The 23,063-nt window shown below is 45.1% G+C and overlaps 1 protein-coding gene across 6 annotated transcripts in view, besides 3 other annotated features; it reads left to right on the top strand.

Moving 5' to 3' along the window:
- Positions 2,032–2,081: an enhancer, noted in NCBI's record as "active region_8255". NCBI's record gives its function as "activates an Ori minimal core promoter by ATAC-STARR-seq in GM12878 lymphoblastoid cells {active_cell/tissue: GM12878}" and the evidence as "EXISTENCE:reporter gene assay evidence [ECO:0000049][PMID:35858748]".
- Positions 2,252–2,601: a silencer, noted in NCBI's record as "silent region_5666". NCBI's record gives its function as "represses an Ori minimal core promoter by ATAC-STARR-seq in GM12878 lymphoblastoid cells {active_cell/tissue: GM12878}" and the evidence as "EXISTENCE:reporter gene assay evidence [ECO:0000049][PMID:35858748]".
- SNX6 (sorting nexin 6) overlaps positions 2,355–23,063 on the top strand; it is a 69,056-nt gene continuing 48,347 nt past the window's right edge. For 5 of the 6 annotated variants that reach the window (NR_159358.1, NR_159357.1, NM_001366519.1 and 2 more), the window contains exons 1-3: positions 2,355–2,392; positions 2,549–2,596; positions 22,761–22,865. Coding sequence is in view for 3 of the 6 variants with exons in the window: in NM_001366519.1 (NP_001353448.1) it covers positions 2,387–2,392; positions 2,549–2,596; positions 22,761–22,865 (159 nt within the window). In the remaining 3 variants the exon portion in view is untranslated. Of the gene's footprint in view, positions 2,597–22,760; positions 22,866–23,063 lie in introns of all 6 variants that reach the window. The other variant, NM_021249.5, reaches the window with a different exon arrangement.
- Positions 8,646–8,940: a silencer, noted in NCBI's record as "tiled region #6350; HepG2 Repressive non-DNase unmatched - State 17:Gen3', and K562 Repressive non-DNase unmatched - State 16:ElonW". NCBI's record gives its function as "represses a minimal TATA promoter and a strong SV40 promoter by Sharpr-MPRA in HepG2 and K562 cells {active_cell/tissue: HepG2 | K562}" and the evidence as "EXISTENCE:reporter gene assay evidence [ECO:0000049][PMID:27701403]".

The raw sequence follows: 23,063 nt of genomic DNA, 5'->3' as shown, positions 1-23,063 counted from the left end.
AGTAGGTAACAAATTACTGGAACATTCCTCCCGACACTTCATCACACTACAATGACACCACATGATGCCTCATGACTCCCAGTGAAAAAGACTACTTTAGTAGTCACCACAATGCGCTGGGAAACAAGAAACAAAAGACAAAAAATAAAGTCCCTTCCCCGCCCCCCATTTCGTAGAGTAACCTTTGTTGGAGCAGTAACTTAACCTCTCTATACTTCAGTTCTCCTTACATACAAAATGAAAGCTACAAGAAGTTCTTATGAAAATATCAGTTAAGTGGTTTTTTTAAATTTTTAATTTTTATTTATTATTTTCTTTTTGAGACGCAGTCTCTGTCACCCAGGCTGGAGTGTGGTGGCATGATCTTGGCTCACTGCAACCTCTGCCTCCCGAGTTCAAGCAATTCTCCTGCCTTGGCCTCCCGAGTAGCTGGGATTACAGGTGCGCACCACCTCACCCAGCTAATTTTTGTATTTTTAGTAGAGATGAGGTTTCACCATGTTGGCCAGGCTCGTCTTGAACTCCTGACCTCAGATGATCTGCCCCCCTTGGCCTCCCAAAGTGCTGGGATTACAGGTGTGAGCCACTGCGTCCGGCCAAAATATCAGTTAAGTTTAATATTGTTTTGAGAGCTTCACTTCAATAAAATAGGATGGAGGGCCTGGCAGAGTAGAGAGGGATTCAAATGTAGAAGGCTTGAAATCGTAGGCTGAGGAATTGAATCGTTATGTAATGGGGGCTTGTAAAGATTACTGAACAGGGTAGTAGCATAATCATCAATATCTGTGTTTTAGGAGGAAAACTGGCAGCAGTGTGTAAAATAGGATAAAGTGATGGAAAATAGTGGAGTCAGGAGAGTATTGCAAAGGTGTAGACGAGAGTTGATGGTAATTGCTGTGAGAACTGGAAAAATTGGACTAATTAAAGAGGTATGGGCTGGGCGCAGTGGCTCACACCTGTAATCCCAGCACTTTGGGAGGTCGAGGCGGGCGGATCATGAGGTCAGGAGATCAAGACCTTCCTGGCTAACATGGTGAAATCCTGTCCTACTAAAAATACAAAAAAATTAGCCGGGTGTGGTGGCACACACCTGTAGTCCCAGCTACTCGGGAGGCTGAGGCAGGAGAATGGCGTGAACCCTGGAGGTGGAGCTTACAGTGAGCCGAGATCGCACCACTGCACTCCAGCCTGGGCGACAGAGCGAGACTCTGTCTCAAAAAAAAAAAAAAAAGAGGTATGAAGGACAATCAATTGTAGAAGCCATAGGATTTGGTTGGATATGAGGAGTAAGGGAGATAAGGATTTATTTCTTTCTTTTTTTGAGACAGAGTCTTGCTCTGTTGCCCAGGCTGGAGTGCAGTGGTGCAATCTCGGCTCACTGCAACCTCTGCCTTCCAGGTTCAAGCGATTCTTTTGCTTCAGCCTCCCAAGTAGCTGAGATTACAGGCACGCGCCACCACGCCCGGCTAATTTTTGTATTTTTAGTAGAGACGGGGTTTCACCATGTTAGCCAGGATGGTCTCAAACTCCTGACCTCAGGTGATCCGCCCGCCTTGGCCTCCCAAAGTGCTGGAATTAGAGACGTGAGCCACAGCGCCCGGCCCCTAGAGTACGGATTTCAATGGGTTAAGGGTTTCTGGTCTGAACATCTGAAGATGCCTTTCCTTAACTGAATGCAAGCTCAGGAACGTGTAGATTCTAGGATTAAGTATGATTTTCTCCCGTTATTTGAAATGCCTGTGGATCCCGTGTGATGCTAACCACCTGGACAGTTAGAGTAGGTGTGGGGAAATTTCTTCTAACAAAGGAAAGGAATATTTTTGTAATGAAAACAGCTCATTTTTATAGTTCGCAACCATTAGTGCCCCAAACTCTGAGGTAGTTATTACCTCGCCAGCGGTAAAAGCTTGATTATAGTCCCTGATTACCGACTGTGTGAAGGTCCTTGTTTCCAGCAACTTCCATAGGCAAAATGATATTAATTGTGATTAATTATCGTGTGGCATAATACAAAGACCAGATGATGTATTATGGCTTCCGGAGGGCGCCTGCATCGTTTTTCGCTGGAGCCCTCGGGGCAGGGGAACTGGAGAGCTCCCTGGGTGGCCTTTGGCCCTTCCCTGGTCAGAGCCCGCCAGCTGCGAGGTGCCCCCAGCCATGAGGTCTGGGTCTTCAGGCTCTCCCGACTTCGGTGCCTTGACCTTGGGCAGAAGGCCCTGTTAACCTTCCTCGCTCACGGACTCGAGCGACCAGCGCCGGGGACGGGGCGGGCCGTCCTTAGGCCCCGCCCCTTCGCCTCCGCCCCGCCCCGCCCCGCTCCTGGCCGCCGGCTCCCTCCGGCAGCAGGGAGATGCGCGCCTGCGCCGGCCCTCGCCTCGGAGCAGCCATGATGGTGGGTGTTCTCCGCGGCGCCGAGTCCCGGGAGCGCGGTGGGGGCAGCGGGCGCGGGGCGGGCGCGGGGACCGCGCCAGCCTGTCACTAATGTCTCCCTTTGTGTCTCCCCCATCTCATCCTTTTCCCCGGCGCGCCGTGCCCGCCGACCCCACAGGAAGGCCTGGACGACGGCCCGGACTTCCTCTCAGAAGAGGACCGCGGAGTAAGTTCTGCCTTCCTTTCGCTCGCGGGACCCTGGACCCTCCTTCCCCATCCTGGGTCCCCGGGTGTGGTACGGGGATGGGTCCCCAGCCGCGCGGCACTCCCTCCCCGTAGTCCTCCTTTCGGTTTCCTCGCTGCACCGCGCCCCACCCTCCCGCAGCCCTTCCTCCCTAGGGGCCGCTCGGCTCCGATTCCCGGGGACCCGCGGCCGCTTTCTTGTCCCCCGCCGCTGTTCGGGCCTTCTGGTGGACCTCCACTCCCACGCGGGGCGGGGTGCAGGTGGCGAAGTGGAAATGGAGGCGGGAGATGGAACGCCCCCACCCTCCCTCGACACTTTGGGGCCATGAAAACCCATTCTCGGACCTTCCCAGCGGCACCCTCAATTTTCACCCGGTGTGGACATCTCGAACTTGCTCCCGCCCACCCTTCTGTCTCTCTCAAATAGTACAGGTGTAGTCTACATTACCATTTTGCAAGGATTTTTATAGTAGCCGAATCAACTCCTGTCCAGTGCCCTACTAGATTATGCAAAGTGCAGGTAGCCCATGGTATCTTTACTTTTTCTAATATCCAACAAATCCTGTCTTTGGCAGGATTTCCTTGGTGTTTTATTCCCCCTTAGCTTCTTTGAGGTATATTGACAAATACTGTTGATAATTGTATATACTTAAGGTATACATTATATTTTAATACACGAATACATTGTGAAATGAGTACCAAAATCAACCTGACATATCCATCACCTCACCTAGTTACCATTTTTTTTTGTGTGAGAACATTTGAGATCTAAGCAAATTTCAAGTATGTACCCTTTGACCAACATCGACGCTCCACCCACTCACCCCCCACATACACACTCCGCCAGGCCTTTGATAACCTCCATTCTGCCCTTGGTGTTCTGAGGTTAGTTGCATTCTACTTCAGAAAGAGCCTTCCGGGCTCTGATTCCTCCCTCCCACCCCACTCTCCACCCCCTTTTTCCTTGGCTGAAGGGTGGTAATCTTTATAGTCCCTTGTACAAGTGAGCACTTGGAAAATGTTGATATATGATAATTACCATTCAGCAAGGTTCCATGGTTCCTTCACATTTCACAGCCTGCACTTCAGTTTTCCCTTTTGCTTTTTCTTATCCGTTTTAATGTGAGAGAGACATCTGTTAGTGCATATTTGGTAGGTGATAAAATATTGTGGGATGTTATTGCTGTTTGTAATAACAGATGAGGTAGTTAGTATGAACTGATGACTTTTATAAAACTTTTATTTATTTATTTGGTTTTATGAGACAGTATCTCCCTTTGTTGCCCAGGCTGGAGTGCAGTGGCATGGTTATAGCTCACTGCAGCCTTGACCTCCTGGGCTTAAGTGATCCTCCCACCTCAGCCTCCCAAGTAGCTGGGACTACTGGCACGGGCCACCATGCCTAGCTGGGTTTTTGTTTGTTGGCTTTTTGAGACGGAGTCTTGCTCTGTCACCCAGACTGGAGTGCAGTAGCGCTATCTTGGCTCACTGCAAGCTCCGCCTCCCGGGTTCACGCCATTCTCCTGCCTCAGCCTCCCGAGTAGCTGGGACTACAGGCGCCCGCCACCACGCCCGGCTAATTTTTTGTATTTTTAGTAGAGACGGGGTTTCATCATGTTAGCCAGGATGGTCTCGATTTCCAGACCTCGTGATCTACCCACCCCGGCCTCCCAAAGTGCTGGGATTATAGGCGTGAGCCACCACGCCCGGCCTGTTTGTTTTTATAGAGACAGGGTCTCACCATGTTGCCCAGGCCAGTGTCAAACTCCTGGGCCTAAGTGATCCTCCTGCGATTATAGGCGTGAGTCACTGTGCCCAGCCGAGCTTTTAAATAGTAAGAAAGATGGAGAAGGTGCTGCATACTTTTATAAATTAATTTCTCAGTGTAAACAAAGGCATTATTTAGAATTTCAGGTTAGAGCAAAAGCATCATATAGAATTACTAGTTGTTGGTAAGATTTTTAGTTTCGGCCAGGCACAATGGCTCACACCTTTAATCCCAGCATTTTGGGAGGCCGAGGCAAGAGGATTGTTTAAGGCAGGAATTCAAGATCAGCCTGGGCAACATAGCAAGACCTCATCTGTACCTAAAAATTTTAAGACCAGGCACGGTGGCTCACGCCTGTAATCCCAGCACTTTGGGAGGCCGAAGTGAGTGGATCACCTGAGGTCAGGAGTTCGAGACCAGCCTGACCAACATGGTGAAACCCTGTCTCTACTAAAAATACAAAAATTAGCTGGGCATGGTGGCGCATGCCTGTAATTCCAGTTACTTCAGAGGCTGAGGCAGGAGAATCACTGGATTCATTCACTGGAACCTGGGAGGTGGAGGTTGCAGTGAGCTGAGATTGCACCATTGCACTCCAGCCTGGGCAACAAGAGCAAAACTCCATCTCAAAAAAAGAAAAAAAAGAAAAAACAATTTTTTTTTTTTTTGAAACGGAGTCTCGCTCTTTCGCCCAGGCCGAAGGCCCGACTGCAGTGGTGCTATCTTGGCTCACTGCAAGCTCCGCCTCCCGGATTCACGCCATTGTCCTGCCTCAGCCTCCTGAGTAGCTGGGACTACAGGCGCCCGCCACCGCACCTGGCTAATTTTTTTGTATTTTTAGTAGAGACGGGGTTTCACCGTGTTAGCCAGGATGGTCTCGATCTCCTGACCTCGTGATCCGCCCGCCTCTGCCTCCCAAAGTGCTGGGATTACAGGCGTGAGCCACCGCGCCTGGCCAACAATTTTTTTTTAAACTTAGGCAAGCTTGGTGGTATATACCTGTAGTCCTAGCTATTTGAGAGGCTGAGAGCTTGAGAACAATGAGCTATGGCTTGAGAGAGCCAGGGTGACAGAGTGAGGTCCTGTCTCTAAAAAAATTTTTAAAATTGTATTTCGGGTTTTAAAATAGCGGAAACTAGCAGAGTTACTTAATGAAGTATGAGGAGTTGATTATAGCACAATTAAACTAATTATTCTAAATATAAAGCATATGACCTTTAGATAACTTTATGTCCTATTTTTGGTGTCTACTAGCACAAGCAAACAGGATTTGCTTTCTTGGAGGATCTTAATAATGTTCAGTAAAAATACTAATTTTTGAGTATGTTGATGTTGTGAAAAGTATTTTTTGGTGAATATTTGTGTTCATGGCTTTATGCCTTCAGAAAGATTTGCTCATGAAACTGGAAGCCCTTAAGTAATTTGTCCAGAAACTTTCTCTTTTTTTTTTTTTGAAATGGAGTCTCGCTCTGTTGCCCAGGCTGGAGTGCAGTGGCGTGATCTCAGCTCGCTGCAAGCTCTGCCTCCTGGGTTCATGCTATGCCATTCTCCTGCCTTAGCCTCCTGAGTAGCTGGGACTACAGGAGTGCGCGACCGTGCCCGGCTAATTTTTTGCATTTTTTTTTTTTTTTAGTAGAGGCGGGGTTTCACCTTGTTAGCCAGGATGGTCTAGATCTCCTGACGTTGTGATCTGCCTGCCTCGGCCTCCCAAAGTGCTGGAATTACAGGCGTGAGCCACCGTGCCTGGCCCCAGAGACTTTTTCATGTATTACAAAATTAAAGGGAGAGGAAGACAAAAGAGCACTCCTGACTGTGATGTTCTTATAGAATCCTGTAGATGAAAATTTTAATATGGAAATGGAAAAAAACCTGAATTAGAATGCTTTTAGAACATCAGGATGGATATATACACTTACCCAGTTCTTCCTTATTTTTGTCCCGTGGAACTGGGTGAATCATAATAATTATAAAATTATAGGTGGGCACAGCATAATCATTGTTTCATTATATTTATATTTCATTATATTTCATCATCCCTCTAAAGCCTTTAGTATCCCCCTTTTTCTAATGAGAAATCCGAACTTCAGAGAAACTAAGTTAGTAGTCTGAGGTCACACAGCAACAAATGGGAGAGCTGGACTTTAAAACACATTTCTGATATCAGAGCCACTGCACAGGTTTCTCAAAGTGGCCTTGAAATACTTGCATTAGAATTACCTGGTGCATTTGAAAATCAAAATGAAAGTTTCTGGGTGTCACCTCCTCACTAAATCAGAATCTCTTAGGGTAGGGAATACACAGTATTGAAAACTGTTGGTCACACTTTGATCTCTTCAGCCCCACCTCTACATATGGGCAGATAACTGCATTTTTTTTTTAAATTTTTTTTGAGACAGGGTCTCGCTCTGTTGCCCACGCTGGGGTGCAGTGGCAATCTTGGCTCACTGCAACCTCCACCTCCCGGGTTAAGGTGATTCTCCTGTCTCAGCCTCCTGAGTAGCTGGGATTATAGGTGCCCGCCACCAGGCCTGGCTAATTTTTTTGTATTTTTAGTAGAGACAGGGTTACACCATGTTGGCCAGGCTGGTCTCAAACTCCTGACCACAGGGGATCTGCCCGCCTCGGCCTCCCAAAGTGCTGGGATTACAGGTGTGAGCCACCGCGCCCGGCCGATAACTGCTTTTTTGACCAGCACCCAAGGAGTTTCTGTTTGTGCACTGAAATTTGATTACTGCTGCAGAAAGTTATCCTGCTATTTCCTCATTTTAGGAATAGAAATATCTGGCCTGTTTAAATTTCCTTACATTGTGTTTGTCCTGATAGAAATAGATTACCATAATTAGAACTTTTAGGCATTGCATTTTTAGTTTAGATCATCTTGTTGAGCCTTTTAAGAAAGGGAGTCTTGGCTGGTCACAGTGGCTCACTCCTATAATCCCAACACTTTGGGAGGCAGAGGTGGGTGGATCACGAGGTCGGGAGTTCGAGACCAGCCTGACCAACATAGTGAAACCCTGTCCCTGCTAAAAATACAGAAAATTAGCTGGGCATGGTGGCGGGCACCTGTAATCCCACCTACTCGGGAGGCTGAGGCGGGAGAATCACTGGAACCCAGGAGGCGGAGGTTGCAGTGAGCTGAGAGCGTGCCATTGCACTCCAGCCTGGGCAACAGTGCGAGACTCTGTCTCGAAAAGAAAGGGGAATTTTGACAGAAAAAGCATGAAGTACATATTGATACAAGTTGCAAAGGGGACAGCACATTCAAAAATAATAACTAGCATTTCATGTAAAGCAGCAAGTAAGCAAAAAAAATTTTTTTTTTTTTCCTAGACGGAGTCTTGCTCTGTCGCTAGGCTGGAGTGCAGTGGTGCGACCTTGACTCACTGCAACCTCTGGCTCCCAAGTTCAAGCTATTCTCCTGCCTCAGCCTCCTGAGTAGCTGGGACTACAGGTGCACGCCACCACGCCCAGCTAATTTTTGTATTTTTAGTAGAGACGAGGTTTCACCATGTTGGCCAGGATGGTCTTGATCTCTTGACTTCATGATCCACCCTCCTCAGCCTCCCAAAGTGCTGGGATTACAGGTGTGAGCCACAGCGTCCAGCTACAAGTAAGCAAAATTAAAGTCAGTGTTTTAAAATAAATCTTTAAGCAGCTGTACATTTTCATCATGATATTTCGATTAGAACAGAATCTTAGTGCCCTAAGAAAACATTGTTTTGGCCAGGCGCAGTGTCTCATGCATGTAATCCCAGCACTTTGCGAGGCCGAGATGGGCAGATCACCTGAGGTCAGGAGTTAAAGACCTGCCTGGCCCACATGGTGAAACCCCATCTCTACTAAAAATACAAAAATTAGCCGGGCGTGATGGCTGGTGCCTGTAATCCCAGCTACTTGGGAGGCTGAGGCAGGAAAATCACTTGAACCCAGGAGGCAGAGGTTGCAGTGAGCCGAGACTGTGCCATTGCACTCCAGCCTGGGCGACAAGAGCGAAACTGTCTCAAAAAAAAAGGAAAATATTGTTTTGTGAGAAATTTAAAAAGCAGGCTTCAAGAATACATAGTGTTGAAAAATATTGGCCACATTTTCATCTCTTTAGCCCTACCTCTATATAATAGGTTTTTCCTCCCCCAAATAAAGGACAGTAACATATTATTTAGTACACAAATGAGCCCTTTGAATTGGACACATTTTTTTTCTGATGTGCTTGTTAAATAAGAACAGTGCATGCCAGAGTGATGGCATGATTCTCTTTGCACTTGATTTCAGTTCTAAATAATATGTTTATTGTTTTCAAGAATTACTTTAGGTGGAGTAACTACTTGTTCTCCTGTACTCGTAGCCTTGCTCCTACCTTTGTATTCCTTATCTTCATTAATAGCATCACTTTCCAGTTGTGCCGGCAAGAAACCTCTGAGTCATATCCTTCATCTTTATATCAGAACAGTCATTGAGGCCAGTTAATTTCACCTTGGAAATGTTGTTTATCCCATCTTTCATGTGCTTGGTTCCATTTAAGCTCCTTGCTTCTTCCTGCTTGGATAGTAGCAGTACCTCTCCTTAGTCTCTGTCTTTAGTCTTTCTACTTTCCAATTCAGTCGTCAAATTACTTATATTACTAAAATGATTAAACCATATAGCACGTTAGTGAAAAGGACTTCCTTGGACCCCTTTTTTTGGGGGGTAAGGTCCAAACTCCTTAGGCTAACATTCAACTCTGTTCATAACCTTTTCTGACTGGCTTCATTTCTCAATATCCCCTCCCCCATATTCTAGTCTACTCCCCATTGCCCAAGTACGTCTACACTTGACTGTCTGTTTTATGCATGCATTTCAGTGTTTTTTTTCCCCCTCACCTTTTCTTTCGCTTCAAATTCAACTTGAATTTGGCCCAGATGCTTGCATTTTGTTTTGCACCTGCACACTTTTTAGCTTAAACACATGCCACATTTATTGATAGTTACTTCACATAAAAATGTGACATATATTATGTTGGCTGAGGATTAAAAAGATCAATAAGACAAAGTTCCTGCCCTGAGACCATCACAGTGTAGTGAAGGAGATAGAGTTATAATCCCTTGCAATGAAGTGTATGGGAGTACAAAGTAAAAGTGTTCAACTTTAGGGGAAGGGGTAGTAGTAAAGACATAATGATAGTTACACACTTACATGCATTCACTGCATGTCAGGGACTTTCCATATAAACTCAATTCTCAAATCCCTATGAAATACACCTACTGTTATTCCTATTTGGGAAAGGAAAACTGAGTTGCAGAGACATTAAATAACTTGCCCAAGGTCATACAGCCGGTAGGAGCTGTGGTCAAATAGGCAATCTAGCTCTAGGGCCTGGCTCTTAACCACTGTGCTATTGGTCTGCTTTCCAACAGGGAGGATGGCATGTGTTGGTAATTTGGTTCCTCCTAGAGCACTTGTTCTTACTGGAGCAGAGGTTGCAAAGGTACATGCAGCTAGTACAGAGTATGTAGTGCATAGTGAAAGACTCCAGGCAGTGGGAAGTACTGAGGAATCTTTTTTTTTTTTTTTTTTTTGCTCTATTGCCCAGGCTGGAGTGCAGTGGCACGATCTCGGCTCACTGCAAGCTCCGCCTCCCGGATTCACGCCATTCTCCTGCCTCAGCGTCCCGAGTAGCTGGGACTACAGGTGCCCGCCACCACGCCCAGCTAATTTCTTTTTGTATTTTTAGTAGAGATGGGGTTTCACGGTGTTAGCCAGGAAGGTCTCGATCTCCTGACCTCGTGATCCACCCACCTCGGCCTCCCAAAGTGCTGGGATTACATGCATGAGCCACCGTGCCCGGCCAGTACTGAGGAATTTTAAGCTAGGAAAGACATGCCCAGGCCGGGTGCAGTGGCTCATGCCTATAATCCCAGCACTATGGGAGGCCGAGGTGGGCGGATCACCTGAGGTAAGGAGTTCAACACCAGCCTGGCCAACGTGACGAAACCCCAACTGTACTAAAAATACAAAAAAAATTAGCCAGGTGTGACGGTAGGTGCCTGTAATCCCAGCTACTAGGGAAACTGAGGCAGGAGAATCGCTTGAACCCAGGAGGCAGAGGTAGCAGTGAGCCAAGATCACGCCACTGCACTCCAGCCTGGGCGACAAGAGTGAAACTCCATCTCAAAAAAAAAAAAAAAAAAAAAAAAGGAAAGACATGCCCAGGTGAAAAAACATTGTAGATTATTCTAATATTGAGGATAGATTGATGCTTCCTTTCAGAAAACAAAGAAACCAGTTAACAGGCTAATGCAGCAGTCCAGATGAGAAATGACAAAGGTAGAACTAAGGCAGTGGAAGAGGGATGAAGGAAGGGATGTAGTAAAGAGATGTTTAGGAGATAGAATAGACAGGACATAGTGACTGAATAAGTAATACATGGGCTGGGCAAGGGAGAAGGAGAAAACATAGAATGTAGGAAGGAAGAACAGGGTTAGAGGTTAGGTCATAAGTCTGGTTCCACGTATGTTGGATTTAAAGTGCCTGTGAGGCATCTAACCTGCCCCCACCAAACTAGAATGTAAGATCTGTAAGGCTGAGGATTGTGTCTCTTCACTGCTGTCTCCCTAACATGTAGGACAGTGCTTGATACATTGAGGGCACTCAGTTGTTTAATAAGTGAATACATCCAGGTGGCTATGTCTAGTTGGTAACTTGAAATTCAAATTGGGAACTTAGAATAAAAAGTCTAAATTGGGGATATAATTAGGAATTATTAGTTGAGAATGGCTGATATTTCCAATATTAGCTAGCACCCAAGGGAAACCAGCATTTAAGGACCAGAGCAAAGATGATTGGTTAATGGGGCTGAGAGGGGTAGGAGGCGAATCAGAGGAGGCTTCAGAAGTTGAGAGAAGCTGACGCAGTGGCTCATGTCTATAATCCTAGCACTCTGAGAGGCTGAGGCAAGAGGATCACTTGAGCCCAGGAGTTTGAGACCAGTCTGGGGTCTGTAGAGAGATCCTCTCTCTACAAAAACTAAAAATTAACAGGGTGTGGTCACACATGCATTTAGTCCTAGCTACTTGGGAGGCTGAGGCAGGAAGATTGCTTGATCACAGGAGTTTGAGGCTGTAATGAGCTATGATTGTACCACTGCATTCCAGCCTGGGTGACAGAGTGAGACGCCCGTCACCATTTTTTATTTTTTATTTTTTTTTTGAGGGAGTCTCACTTTATCACCCAGGTTGGAGTGCAGTGGCACCATCTCAATTCACTGCAACTTCTCCCTCCCGGATTTAAGCAGTTTCTTGTGTCTCAGCTTCCTGAGTAGCTGGGATTACAGGCATGCACCACCACGCCCAACTAATTTTTGTATTTTTAGTAGACACAGGGTTTCGCTATGTTGCCCAGGCTGGTCTCAAACTCCTGGCCTCAAGTGATCCTCCTGCCTCAGCCTCCCAAAGTGCTGAGATTACAGGCGTGAGCCACCATGCCCGGCCCCATGTCCAGTTTTAAAAATAATGATTTTTTTGTTTTAAAGGTTGAGATAGTTTTAAGAAAGGAGTGGTCAGAATGATACCAAGGCAGAATACTGCATAGAGGCCAAGAAGACTGAAAAATATCATTGGTTTGGAAATTAGGTACTCATGTAAAGAATTTTGTTTTTGTTTTTGTTTTTTGACATAGTCTTGCTCTGTTGCCCAGGCTGGCATGTAGTGGCACCATCACAGCTCACTGCAGCCTCGACCTCCTGGGGCTCAAGTGATCCTCCCACCTCAGCTTCCCAAGTAGCTGGGACTACAGGCGTGTGCCACCATGACCAGCTGTGAGGCAAAATTTATTTGTAAAAAGATGTGTTGGTGGGCCTGAGAGAATAAACAGCTGCTGGCATTTATTTCTCTGGGCTGGAGGAGGCAAGTTCACTTGTTGAGGGTGGGGTGTAATGTGGTAGTAAAAGTTGGAATTGTTGCTGCAGGGAATCAAAAGAGGAGCTGAGCAGAGTTGCACAGGACTGGACTGCTGAGTGGTTTTCAAAGAGCATATGCAATTTGGAGACCATTAATTTGAAATGGAACAGTACAAACAATGGTGACTTTTCTCTAGCCATACTCAGCAGCCCAAATGTAAAAGTTGACGATTATATTGATCTTGAGGTCAGGTGGCTCATGCCTGTAATCCCAGCATTTGAGAGGCTAAGGTGGGAGGATCGCTTGAGCCCAGGAGTTCAAGTCTAGCTTGGGCAGCATAGTGAGACCTCATCTCTATAAAAAAATAAATAAATAAAAGATAAGTAGATCCTGAGTATGGGAATTTGTGAGCCAGGTATGGTAAAAGAGCAGTGAGAGTTGAAGGGACCAGCAGGAAAGGTATTGGAATGGCATTCATGGAGTGAAGCAGAGGGAGTGCCGACAGACTGGAAATAAATGGAAAGGTCACAGGACTGGAGGTGTTGATGAGGTTACATTGTACATGTGGTAAAAGTGGTGGGGAGAAAGCAGGAAGCAGTTAATTTTATATTACATAAGATTGATTGTCTTCCTCATTGCAAACAGATTTCTTGAAGGCAGGGCTTTTTGTTCACTTTAAATCTTTCACAATACCTGGGACAGTGTTTGCGTATAAGTGCTGAAAAAAAAGTTTATTAAATAGCCGCATATTACTGTATTGCCTAGTGTTTATATTTATTCTATCTCTCTCTCTCTCTCTCTCTCTAAATATATATATATATATTTTTTTGAGACAGAGTTGTGTTCTGTTACCGAGGCTGGAGTGCAGTGGTGCGATATCAGCTCACTGCAACCTCCACCTCCTGGGTTCAAGTGATCCTTCTGCCTCAGCCTCCCAAGTAGCAGGGACTACAGGCATGCACCACTGCACCCAGCTAATTTTTGTATTTTTAGTAGAGATGGGGTTTCACCATGTTGGCCAGGCTGGTCTCAGACTCCTGACCTTGTGATCTGCCCACCTTGGCCTCCCAAAGTGTTGGGATTACAGGCATAAGCCACTGCGCCTGGCCAATCAAATTTTACTTCTATCATGGGGTTTTTAATTGATCATACTGTAATTACCTGAAAATAGTTTTGTAGCCCAGTTGTGGTTACCACCTTTCTTTCTTTCCTCTTCCCTCCTTTACATTCCACAAATATTTGTCGAGAACTTCCATTGGGAATGTAGCAATGAATAAAACAGACAAAAACCCATGTCTTCATGGAGCTGAATTACAGTCATGAAGAGACATTTTTAAAAAGTAAAGTATATTAGGTTTTGAATAGGCATTATGAAGAAAAATGAGGGAGGAGTAGGGATTTTTGGGCTGGGAGGGGAGGATGGTTTGAGCTGCACTTTTAGATAGGGTGGCTAGGAAAGGCCTTCCTGAGGAAGACTTAAGGACTTGAAGGAAGTGAGCTGTGCAGATACGTATCTGGGGGCAGAGTGTTCCAGGCAGAGGGAACCAGCGGTTGCAAAGACTCCCTGAGACGGCAGCATGTTTGTGTGTTCAAAAAACGAGGGCCAGGTGCAGTGGCTCATGCCTGTAATCCCAGCACTTGAGAGGCCAAGGTGGGTGGATCACCTGAGGTTGGGAGTTCGAGACCAGCCTGGCCAAGATGGTGAAACCTTGTCTCTACTAAAAATACAAAAATTAGCTGGGCATGGTGTCGCACGTCTGTAATTCCAGCTACTAGGGAGGCTGAGGCAGGAGAATTGCTTGAATCAGAAAGGCAGAGGTTGCAGTGAGCTGAGATCACACCACTGTACTCCAGCCTTGGCGACAGAGCAAGACTCCATCCCCCCCTCCCCAAAAAGGAGGCCACATGGCAGGACTATAGTGAGCCAGAGGAGTGGTAAATTAGATGATATCAGATGGAGATTTTATAGTGCCTGGTAGGCCACTGTAAGGTATTCAGCTTTTCTTCAAGTGGAAACTCCTTAGATTTTAAGCAGAGAAATGATTTCTAGTTTAATGATATCATAGTAGTGGCCCTGTAGGGAATAAATTTATGAGGGGCAAGGGCTGAAGTAAGAGATCAGTTGGGAGACTATTGTAAGAGTCAAAGTTATTTTCTTTCTTCCTTCCTCTTTGCCCCATCCCATCCACTCATCCATCTCTCTACATTTGCTTTGCTGTCAAAATATGAACAACTGACGTCTTAGGGATGTTCTAAGCTAGATACTTCATAGTACACTAGTCAGTATAGTAACTAGTAGTGAATGTCTTCCTAAGTCTTTTTTTTTTTTTTGGAGGCAGTCTTGCTCTGTCCCCCAGGCTGGAGTGCAGTGGTGCAATCTTGGCTCACTGCAAGCTCTGCCTCCTGGGTTCAAGTGATTCTGCTGCCTCAGCCTCCCAAGTAGCTGGGACTACAGGTGCCCGCCACCACGCCCGGCTTATTTTTTGTATTTTTAGTAGAGACGGGGTTTCACCGTGTTAGCCAGGATGGTCTTGATCCCCTGACCTCGTGATCCGCCTGCCTCAGCCTCCCAAAGTGCTGGGATTACAGGCGTGAGCCACCGCGCCTGGTCCAAGTCTTTTTTTTTTTTTTTTTTTTTTTTTTGAGACAGGGTCTCACTCTGTCACCCAGGCTGGAATGCAGTGGCACAATCACAGCCCACGGCAGCCTCAGTCCCCTGAGTAGCTGGGACCACAGATGTGCACCATTACACCCAGCTAATTTTTAAATTTTTTGTGGAGACACGATCTCACTATGTTACCCATGCTGGTCTCGAACTCCTGACCACAAGTGATCCTTCTGCCTTGGCCTCCCAACGTACTGGTATTATAGGCATAAGCTACTGTGCCCAGCCTTTTACTAAGTAATTATATGTGGAACAACAGGTCACAGGTCAGAGTCTTTAAATTGTTCTTCTAATGATAGTACATTTATGTTACTTAATCCATATTTTTTTGTCATAATCTTTCTCTTGACCAGCGACACACATGTTTAACCTAGCCTCTGACAAAAGACAGTCCAATCAATGTGTATTGTTCCAGAAAAAGATTAAGCCATTGAATGTAATCTAATTAGAAATTTCTTCAAACTGAACTCACTAGTTACAGAAAGTTGATTAAATTTTTTTAACCCGAGACAGTCTTGCTCTCTTGACCAGGCTGGAGTGCAGTGGTGCGATCTCGGCTCACTGCAGCCTCCGCCTCCTGGATTCAAGCAATTCTCCTGCCTCAGCCTCCTGAGTAGCTGGGATTACAGGCGCCCACACCACGCCCAGCTAATTTTTTTTTTCTTTTTTATATTTTTAGTAGAAACAAGGTTTCACCATGTTGGCCAGGCTGGTCTCAAATTCCTGACTTTGTGATCCTCCCTCTTCGGCCTCCCAAAGTGCTGGGATGCCAGGCATGAGCCACCACACCCAGCCGATTAAATTTTTATGAAACACAAGTTGTTTGCTTGACTCCGGTCCTTAATAAAACCCTCTAAAATGATTGACTTTTTGCTAAACTGAGAAGAAAATCTGCCTGGACAATTTGTGTACATTTTATGTAATGAACACTAAATCTCACACCTGTAATACCAGTGGTTCGGGAAGCCAAACGGGGTCAGGAGGTGGATCACTTGAACCCACGAGCTCAAGACCAGCCTGGGCAACATGGTGAGATCCCATCTCAAAAATTAGCTGGGCATGGTGATGTGTGCCTGTAGTCCCAGCTACCTGGAAGGCTGAGATGGAATGATCGCTTGATCCCAGGAGTTCAAGGTTAAAATGAGCTATGATTGTGCCACCGCATTCCAACCTGGGTAGCAGTGCAAGACTCTGTCTCTTTAAAATTAAAAAATCTACAATATATTTTATCAGATTTAAGGTGCAGTTGATTGAAAGACTTTTATGTACCACTAAGGAAAAAAAAATGTTGCTAGTTAAATTGTAATTTGTCATCAATTGAAAGACATTCCTGGCTGGGCATGGTGGCTCACACCTGTAATCCCAGCACTTTGGGAGGCTGAAGCAGGTGGATCATGAGGTCAGGGGATCAAGACCATCCTGGCCAACATTGTGAAACCCCCTCTCTACTAAAAATACAAAAATTAGCTGGGTGTGGTGGCACATGCCTGTAATCCCAGCTACTCAGGAGGCTGAGGCAAGAGAATCACTTGAACCCTGGAGGTGGAGATTGCAGTGAGCCAAGATCACGCCACTGCACTCCAGCCTGGTGACAGGGCGGGACTCTGCCTCAAAAAAATAAAAATAAAAAAGGACATTCCTATTTCAGATATGTTATAAAAAATATGCATCTAGAATTGATGAACCATGATAGCATGTTAACTTTTCAGTGATATTTTATACTGATGGTGGGGGGTGATTTTATTTTGGGGACTGGCTTTTCCATTATACATCTTGTTTATTAGAAATAGGACTTAGGCCAGTCATAAGTCCTATTACAGGCTCACGCCTGTAATCCTAACACTTTGGGAGGCCGAGGACGGAGGGGATTGCTTAAGCCAGGAGTTTGACAGTAGAGTGAGCAATGATTGCACCGCTGCACTCCAGCCTGGGCAACACAGCGAGACTCTGTCTCAAGGGGAAAAAAAAAGAAAAGGAGAAGACAAATGGTAGATTGAGTTAATAGCTCTTAAGGCAATATATAAATGGATAACATGCTTTAATAAGGTATACAAGAGAGAATTTAGCCAGGTGCGGTGGCTTACGCCTATAATCCCAGCACTTTGGGAGGCCGAGGTGGGAGAATCACTTAAGCCCAGGAGGTCGAGAACAGCCTGAGCAACATAGGGAGACCCTATCTCTTAAAAAATAATAATAATTAGCCAGATGTGGTGGTGTACACCTGTGGTCCCAATTGCTTAGGAGGCTGAGGCAGGAGGATCACATAAGCCTGTGAGTATGGTAGGTGGCCTATATATTTGTTAAAGCTCTTTATACTGAAAATCTGTATTTTATTGTATGTAAATTATGCCAAAATAAGTAGAATTCAAGACCAAAACCGTTAAGTGGATAGTACAGGGATATTTTATATAGATAAAAGTTACCATTTAAGAAACCAAGTGTTGTGCTATCAAAAAAAAAACTAAACAATAAAGGGAAACAGTATATTTAGTATAGAAGGATAAGGAAATGGAAGAGAAAGAACTGTTTTAATAACTTGGAATAATCTTGAATTGGAAGAATAAATAACATCTTCTCAAATGTAGATATCTCTGAAAGGTATGCTTCCAAACTGATAGATCAGTAGTTAAAAAAAAAAATCTGAAAGCAAAAGTGTACATAGAGATAGGAAATCTGGAAGAAAAATTTTTGAAATAGGGTCTTACGAGACTGGAGTGCAGTGGTGCCATCATAGCTCACTGCAACCTCAAACTCTTGATCTTCCTGCCTCAGCTTCCTGAGTAGCAGAGACTACAAATGTGGGCCACCATGCCCAGCTAATTTTTTTATTTTGTAGAGACAGGTCTTGCTATGTTGCCCAGGCTGGTCTCAAACTCCTGGGCTCAAGCGATCCTCCTGCCTTGGCCTCCCAAGGTGCAGGGATTCCACGCGTGAGCCACCTTGGCTGGCCAAAATATTTCATATAAATATTAAGAACAACATATTAACAGCTGAGAGGAAATTTTGACAGAATATAAAGGCAAGGAAAATCCTGAAAATGTCTGCTGGTGTATTCGGTTACAGATTTTAAGGGCCTTTGCCTGACGTTCCTGTTTTGATAGGCCTGGGATTCTGTTTCTGGTTTTGGAGTTTTTTGGTTTTTTTTTTTTGAGACAGGGTCTCACTTTGTCACCCAGGCTGGAGTGCATTGGCAGTTTCTTGGCTCACTGCAGCCTCGACCTCCTGAGTTCAAGCAATCCTCCTGTCTCAGCTAGCTGGGACTACAGGTGTGTCCCACCAGGCTGGGCTAATTTTTGTTTTGGTTATTGTTTTCGGTTTTTTTTTAGAGATGGGGTTTTGCCATGTTGCCTAGATTGGTCTTGAACTCCTGAGCTCAAGTGTTCCAATCGCCTCAGCCTCCCAAAGTGTTAATATTATAGGTGTGAGCTGCTACACCCAGCCAGATTCTGTTTTTTTGTTTTTGTTTTTGTTTTTGTGTTGAGATGGAGTCTCGCTCTGTCTTCCAGGCTGGAGTGCAGTGGCACCATCTCACCTCACTGCAACTTCCGCCTCCCAGGTTCAAGCAGTTTGCTGCCTCAGCCTCCCGAGTAGCTGGGATTACAGGCACCTGCCACCAGGCCCAGCTAATTTTTGTATTTTTAGTAAGAGACGGGGTTTCACCATCTTGGCCACATTGGTCTTGAACTCCTGACCTCGTGATCCACCCACCTCGGGCTCCCAGAGTGCTGGTATTACAGGCGTGAGCCACCACACGCGGCCCCAGATTCTGTTTTTTGTTTTTGTTTTTGTTTTTTTGAGATGGAGTCTCGCTCTTGCCCAGGCTGGAGTGCAGTGGCGCTATCTTGGCTCACTGCAAGCTCTGCCTCCTGGGTTCACGCCATTCTCCTGCCTCAGCCTCCGGAGTAGCTGGGACTTCAGTCACCCGCCACCACGCCCGGCTAATTTTTTTGTATTTTTAGTAGAGACGGGGTTTCACTGTGTTAGCCAGGATGATCTCGATCTCCTGACCTCGTGATTCACCCGCCTCAGCCTCCCAAAGTGCTGGGATTACAGGCGTAAACCACCATGCCCAGCCAGATTCTGTATTTTTAACAAGCAACCAGGTTGATTCTTATTAGGTGTGTTTTGGAAATGCTAGACTAAGCAATGAAAACCTCAGAAGTGGAGAAATGCTAGTCATTATTCCAAAACCTGTATGATAAATGAACTAGTTTCCTGTGGCTGCTGTAACAAGTTACCACAAACTTGATGGCTTAAAACTACATAAATTTATTCTCTCACAGTTCTGAAGGCCAGAAGTCAGAAATCAGTATCACTGAGCTGAAGTCAGAGAAGTCAGGATGTCAACCTGGCAGGGCCAGCTCTCCCTCCGGAGGCTCTAGGGAAGAATTCCCTGCCTCCTCCAGCTTTCAGTGGCTACCAGCAGCAGCAGTCCTTGGTTTGGTTTGTGGCTGCATTACTCTAATCTGCCTCCATGGTCACATGACCTTCTCATTAGTTATTGGAGTGTTTTTTTCCTGTGTCAGTTTTTTTTTTTTTTTTTTGGATAGAGTCTCACTCTGTCACTGGAGTGCAGTGGCGTGATCTCGGCTCACTGCCAGCTCCACCTCCCAGGTTCACACCATTCTCCTGCCTCAGCCTCCCAAGTAGCTGGGATTATAGGCATGCACCACCGCACCCAGCTAATTTTATGTTTTTAGTAGAGACAGGGCTTCTCCACATTGGTCAGGCTGGTCTCGAACTCCTGACCTCAGGTGATCCACTCACTTCGGCCTCCCAAAGTGCTGGGATTACAGGCGTGAGCCACCAGTGGCGCCTGGCCTCTGCCTTTTATATATAAGGATAATGTCCTGGCTCGGCGTGGTGGCTCACGCCTATAATCCCAACACTTTGGGAGGCTGAGGCAGGTGGATCACCTGAGGTCAGGAGTTGAAGACCAGACTGGCTAACGTGGCAAAAGCCCATCTCTACTAAAAATACAAAAATTAGCTGGGCCTGGTTGTGCATGCCTGTAGTCCTAGCTACTCGGGAGGTTGAGGCAGGAGAATCACTTGAACATGGGAGGCGGAGGTTGTAGTGAGCCAAGATGGGGCCACTGCACTCCAACCTCAGGGGACAAAGTGAGACTCCATCTCAAAAAAAGATGATGTGATTGCCTTTAAGGCCCACCTGGATAATCCAGGATAATCTCAAAATCCCCATCTCAAAATCCATAATTGAATGACATCTGCAAAGTCATTTATTGACATATAAGGTAACATTTACAGCTCCTAGGAATTTGGATGTAGATACCTCCTGGGGAGCCATTGTTCAGCCTACCACAATAAACATCTTAAAAGTGGCCTGGCCTGGCTCAGTGGCTCACGTCTGTAATCCCAGCACTTTGGGAGGCCAAGGTGAAAGGATTGCCTGAGCTCGGGAGTTCAAGACCAGCCTGGGTGACATAGCGAGACCCTGTCTCTATTTAAAAAAACAAAAAGCCTGAATGTGATTAAAGAAAAAAAGGAGGCTGGACACGGTGGCTCACGCCTGTAATCCCAGCACTTTGGGAGGCCGAGGCGGGCGTATCACGAGGTCAGGAGATCGAGACCATCCTGGCTAACACGGTGAAACTCCTCTCTACTAAAAAAATACAAAAAATGAGCCAGGCGTGGTGGTGGGTGCCTGTAGTCCCAGCTACTTGGGAGGCTGAGGCAGGAGAATGGCGTGAACCCGGGAGGCGGAGCTTGCAGTGAGCCGAGATTGTGCCACTGCACTCCAGTCTGGGTGACAGAGCGAGACTCAGTCTCCAAAAAAGAAAAAAGGGAACAGATTTCTCTTTTTTTTTTTTTTTTTTTGAGACAGTGTCTTACTGTTTTGTCAGGCTGGAGTGTAGTGGCACAATCTCTGCTCAGCGCAACCTCCGCCTCCCAAGTAGCTGGGACTACAGGTGTGCGCCACTATGCCCAGCTAATTTTGGTATTTTTAGTAGAGATGGGGTTTCACCATGTTGACCAGTATGGTCTCAATCTCTTGACCTCATGATCCACCTGCCTCGGCCTGCCAAAGTGCTGGGATTATAGGTGTGAGCCACCACACCCGGCCTCCCCCCCTTTTTTTTTTTCTTTTTGAGACAGGGTTTGGCTCTATTGCCCAGGCTGGAGTGAAGTGGCATGATTTCAGCTCACTGCAACCTCCACCTCTTGGGCTCAAGCCATTCCCCACACCTCAGCCTCCCAAGTAGCTGGGACTACAGGTGTACAACATGTGCCCGGCTAATTTTTGTATTTTTTGTAGAGATGGGGTTTTGCCGTGTTGGCCAGGCTAGTCTCAGATTCCTGAGCTCAAGCAATTCGAATGCCAAGGTGGGCGGATCACTTGAGGTCAGGAGTTCAAGACCAGCCTGGCCAACATGGCAAAACCCCTTCTCTACCAAAAACTACAAAAATAGCTGGATGTGGGGGCGCACGACTATAATCCCAGCTACTCAGGAGGCTGAGGTGGGAGAATCACTTGAACCTGGGAGGCAGAGGTTGTAGTGAACAGAGCACTGCACTCCAACCTGGTTTTGAGACCCTGTCTCAAAAACAAAAAATAGAATTATATATATATATACACACACACACACGTATATATATTTGAAATCATTGAGTAAACAATTTTGTATTTGCATTCAGCATTTTGTTCATTTACAATATAATTAAAATTTGAGATACTAATGACCAGGTGAGATTCTCTAAGTCCTAGGTTTTACAACTAGAGTACTGTCTTTGAAACAGTCTATTTCATGTCTTTGCAGCTGGCTAAGACTTTGAGTGTTTTGACTCTTTCCTAAGTCTCAAAATTACCCAAACAAGTTATTTATTGTTTAAAGAGTAAGAAAAACAGATGAAGTTTAAAAATTAATAAGTAGAAGAGTCTTCTTATAGATGAGAAAGTAGAAGCACTAAATAGGAAATATATTTATTTCTTCAAATGTAGTTTATGGAGTTACTTATTGAGTACTTACTGTATGTTAGTATTTTTCTTAGCACTTTACATTAATATGTTTAATTATATTTGATAGTTTCATTGTATATTCCTGAATATAGAGAGGCAGGAGTTAAAATTGTTGCTTGATAGTCTTCTTATTATTGTGCTTCAAGGCAGACACATTCCTTAATTTTAGAGCACTTGAACTTAGATGGACCACTTTCTTGGAAAATAGGGTTTTGTTTTTTTTTTTGGAAGAAGTTTTTTTTTTTTTTTTTTTTTGAGACGGTTTTGCTCTGTCATCCAGGCTGGAGTTCAGTGGCACGATTACTGCTTACTGTAGCCTTGACCTAGGCTCAAGCAAGCCTTCTGCCTCAGCCTCCTGTGTACTGAGACCACAGGTGTGCACCACCATATCTGGCTATTTTCTTTTCTTTTTTTTTTTTCAATTTCTGTAGAGACAGGGTCTTGTTATGTTTCCCAGGGTGGTCTTGAATTCCTGGGCTCAGTCAGTCCTCCCGCTTCAGCCTCCTAAAGTGCTGGGATTATAGACATGAGCCATCACATCTGGCTGAAAAGAGTTTTCTTTTTGAAATAAACTGTAACTAAACTATAATAAATCATGATTAACTCAGTGACTTACACAAAGCAGAATATAGTTGAATACTATAAAATGAAAATTCTAGAATTGAATACTATAGAATTAAGGTAATAGCGTTGCCCAAAGCAGCTGCTTCAAAATGTATATAGTATGTATGTTAAATGGACATGAGTACCTCTTTAGACTTAATAATCTTTTGTTATTTTTGTTTTGTTTTTGCATTGTCTTAAGAGAAAAAATGAAATTATATAAAACATGATTTTCATGAAGATACTGGTTTTCTTTTTCTAGCTTAAAGCAATAAATGTAGATCTTCAAAGTGATGCTGCTCTGCAGGTGGACATTTCTGATGCTCTTAGTGAGCGGGATAAAGTAAAATTCACTGTTCACACAAAGGTAAATGTGATTTTGTACTTTCTATTATTTTAGCCATTTATTATACTACATATGTGATATGTTGACCAGACTTGGGTTTTAAACATAATTGGAAAGAAACTATTTTAACAAAAATAGATGTAGGAAAATGTACTTTTTTTTTTTTTTTTTTTTTTTTGAGACGGAGTCTTGCTCTGTCGCCCAGGCTGGAGTGCAGTG

The sequence above is a fragment of the Homo sapiens genome, chromosome 14, assembly GCF_000001405.40.
Source record: "Homo sapiens chromosome 14, GRCh38.p14 Primary Assembly".
NCBI lineage: Eukaryota > Metazoa > Chordata > Mammalia > Primates > Hominidae > Homo > Homo sapiens.
This window is presented reverse-complemented; position numbering and strand designations above follow the sequence as displayed.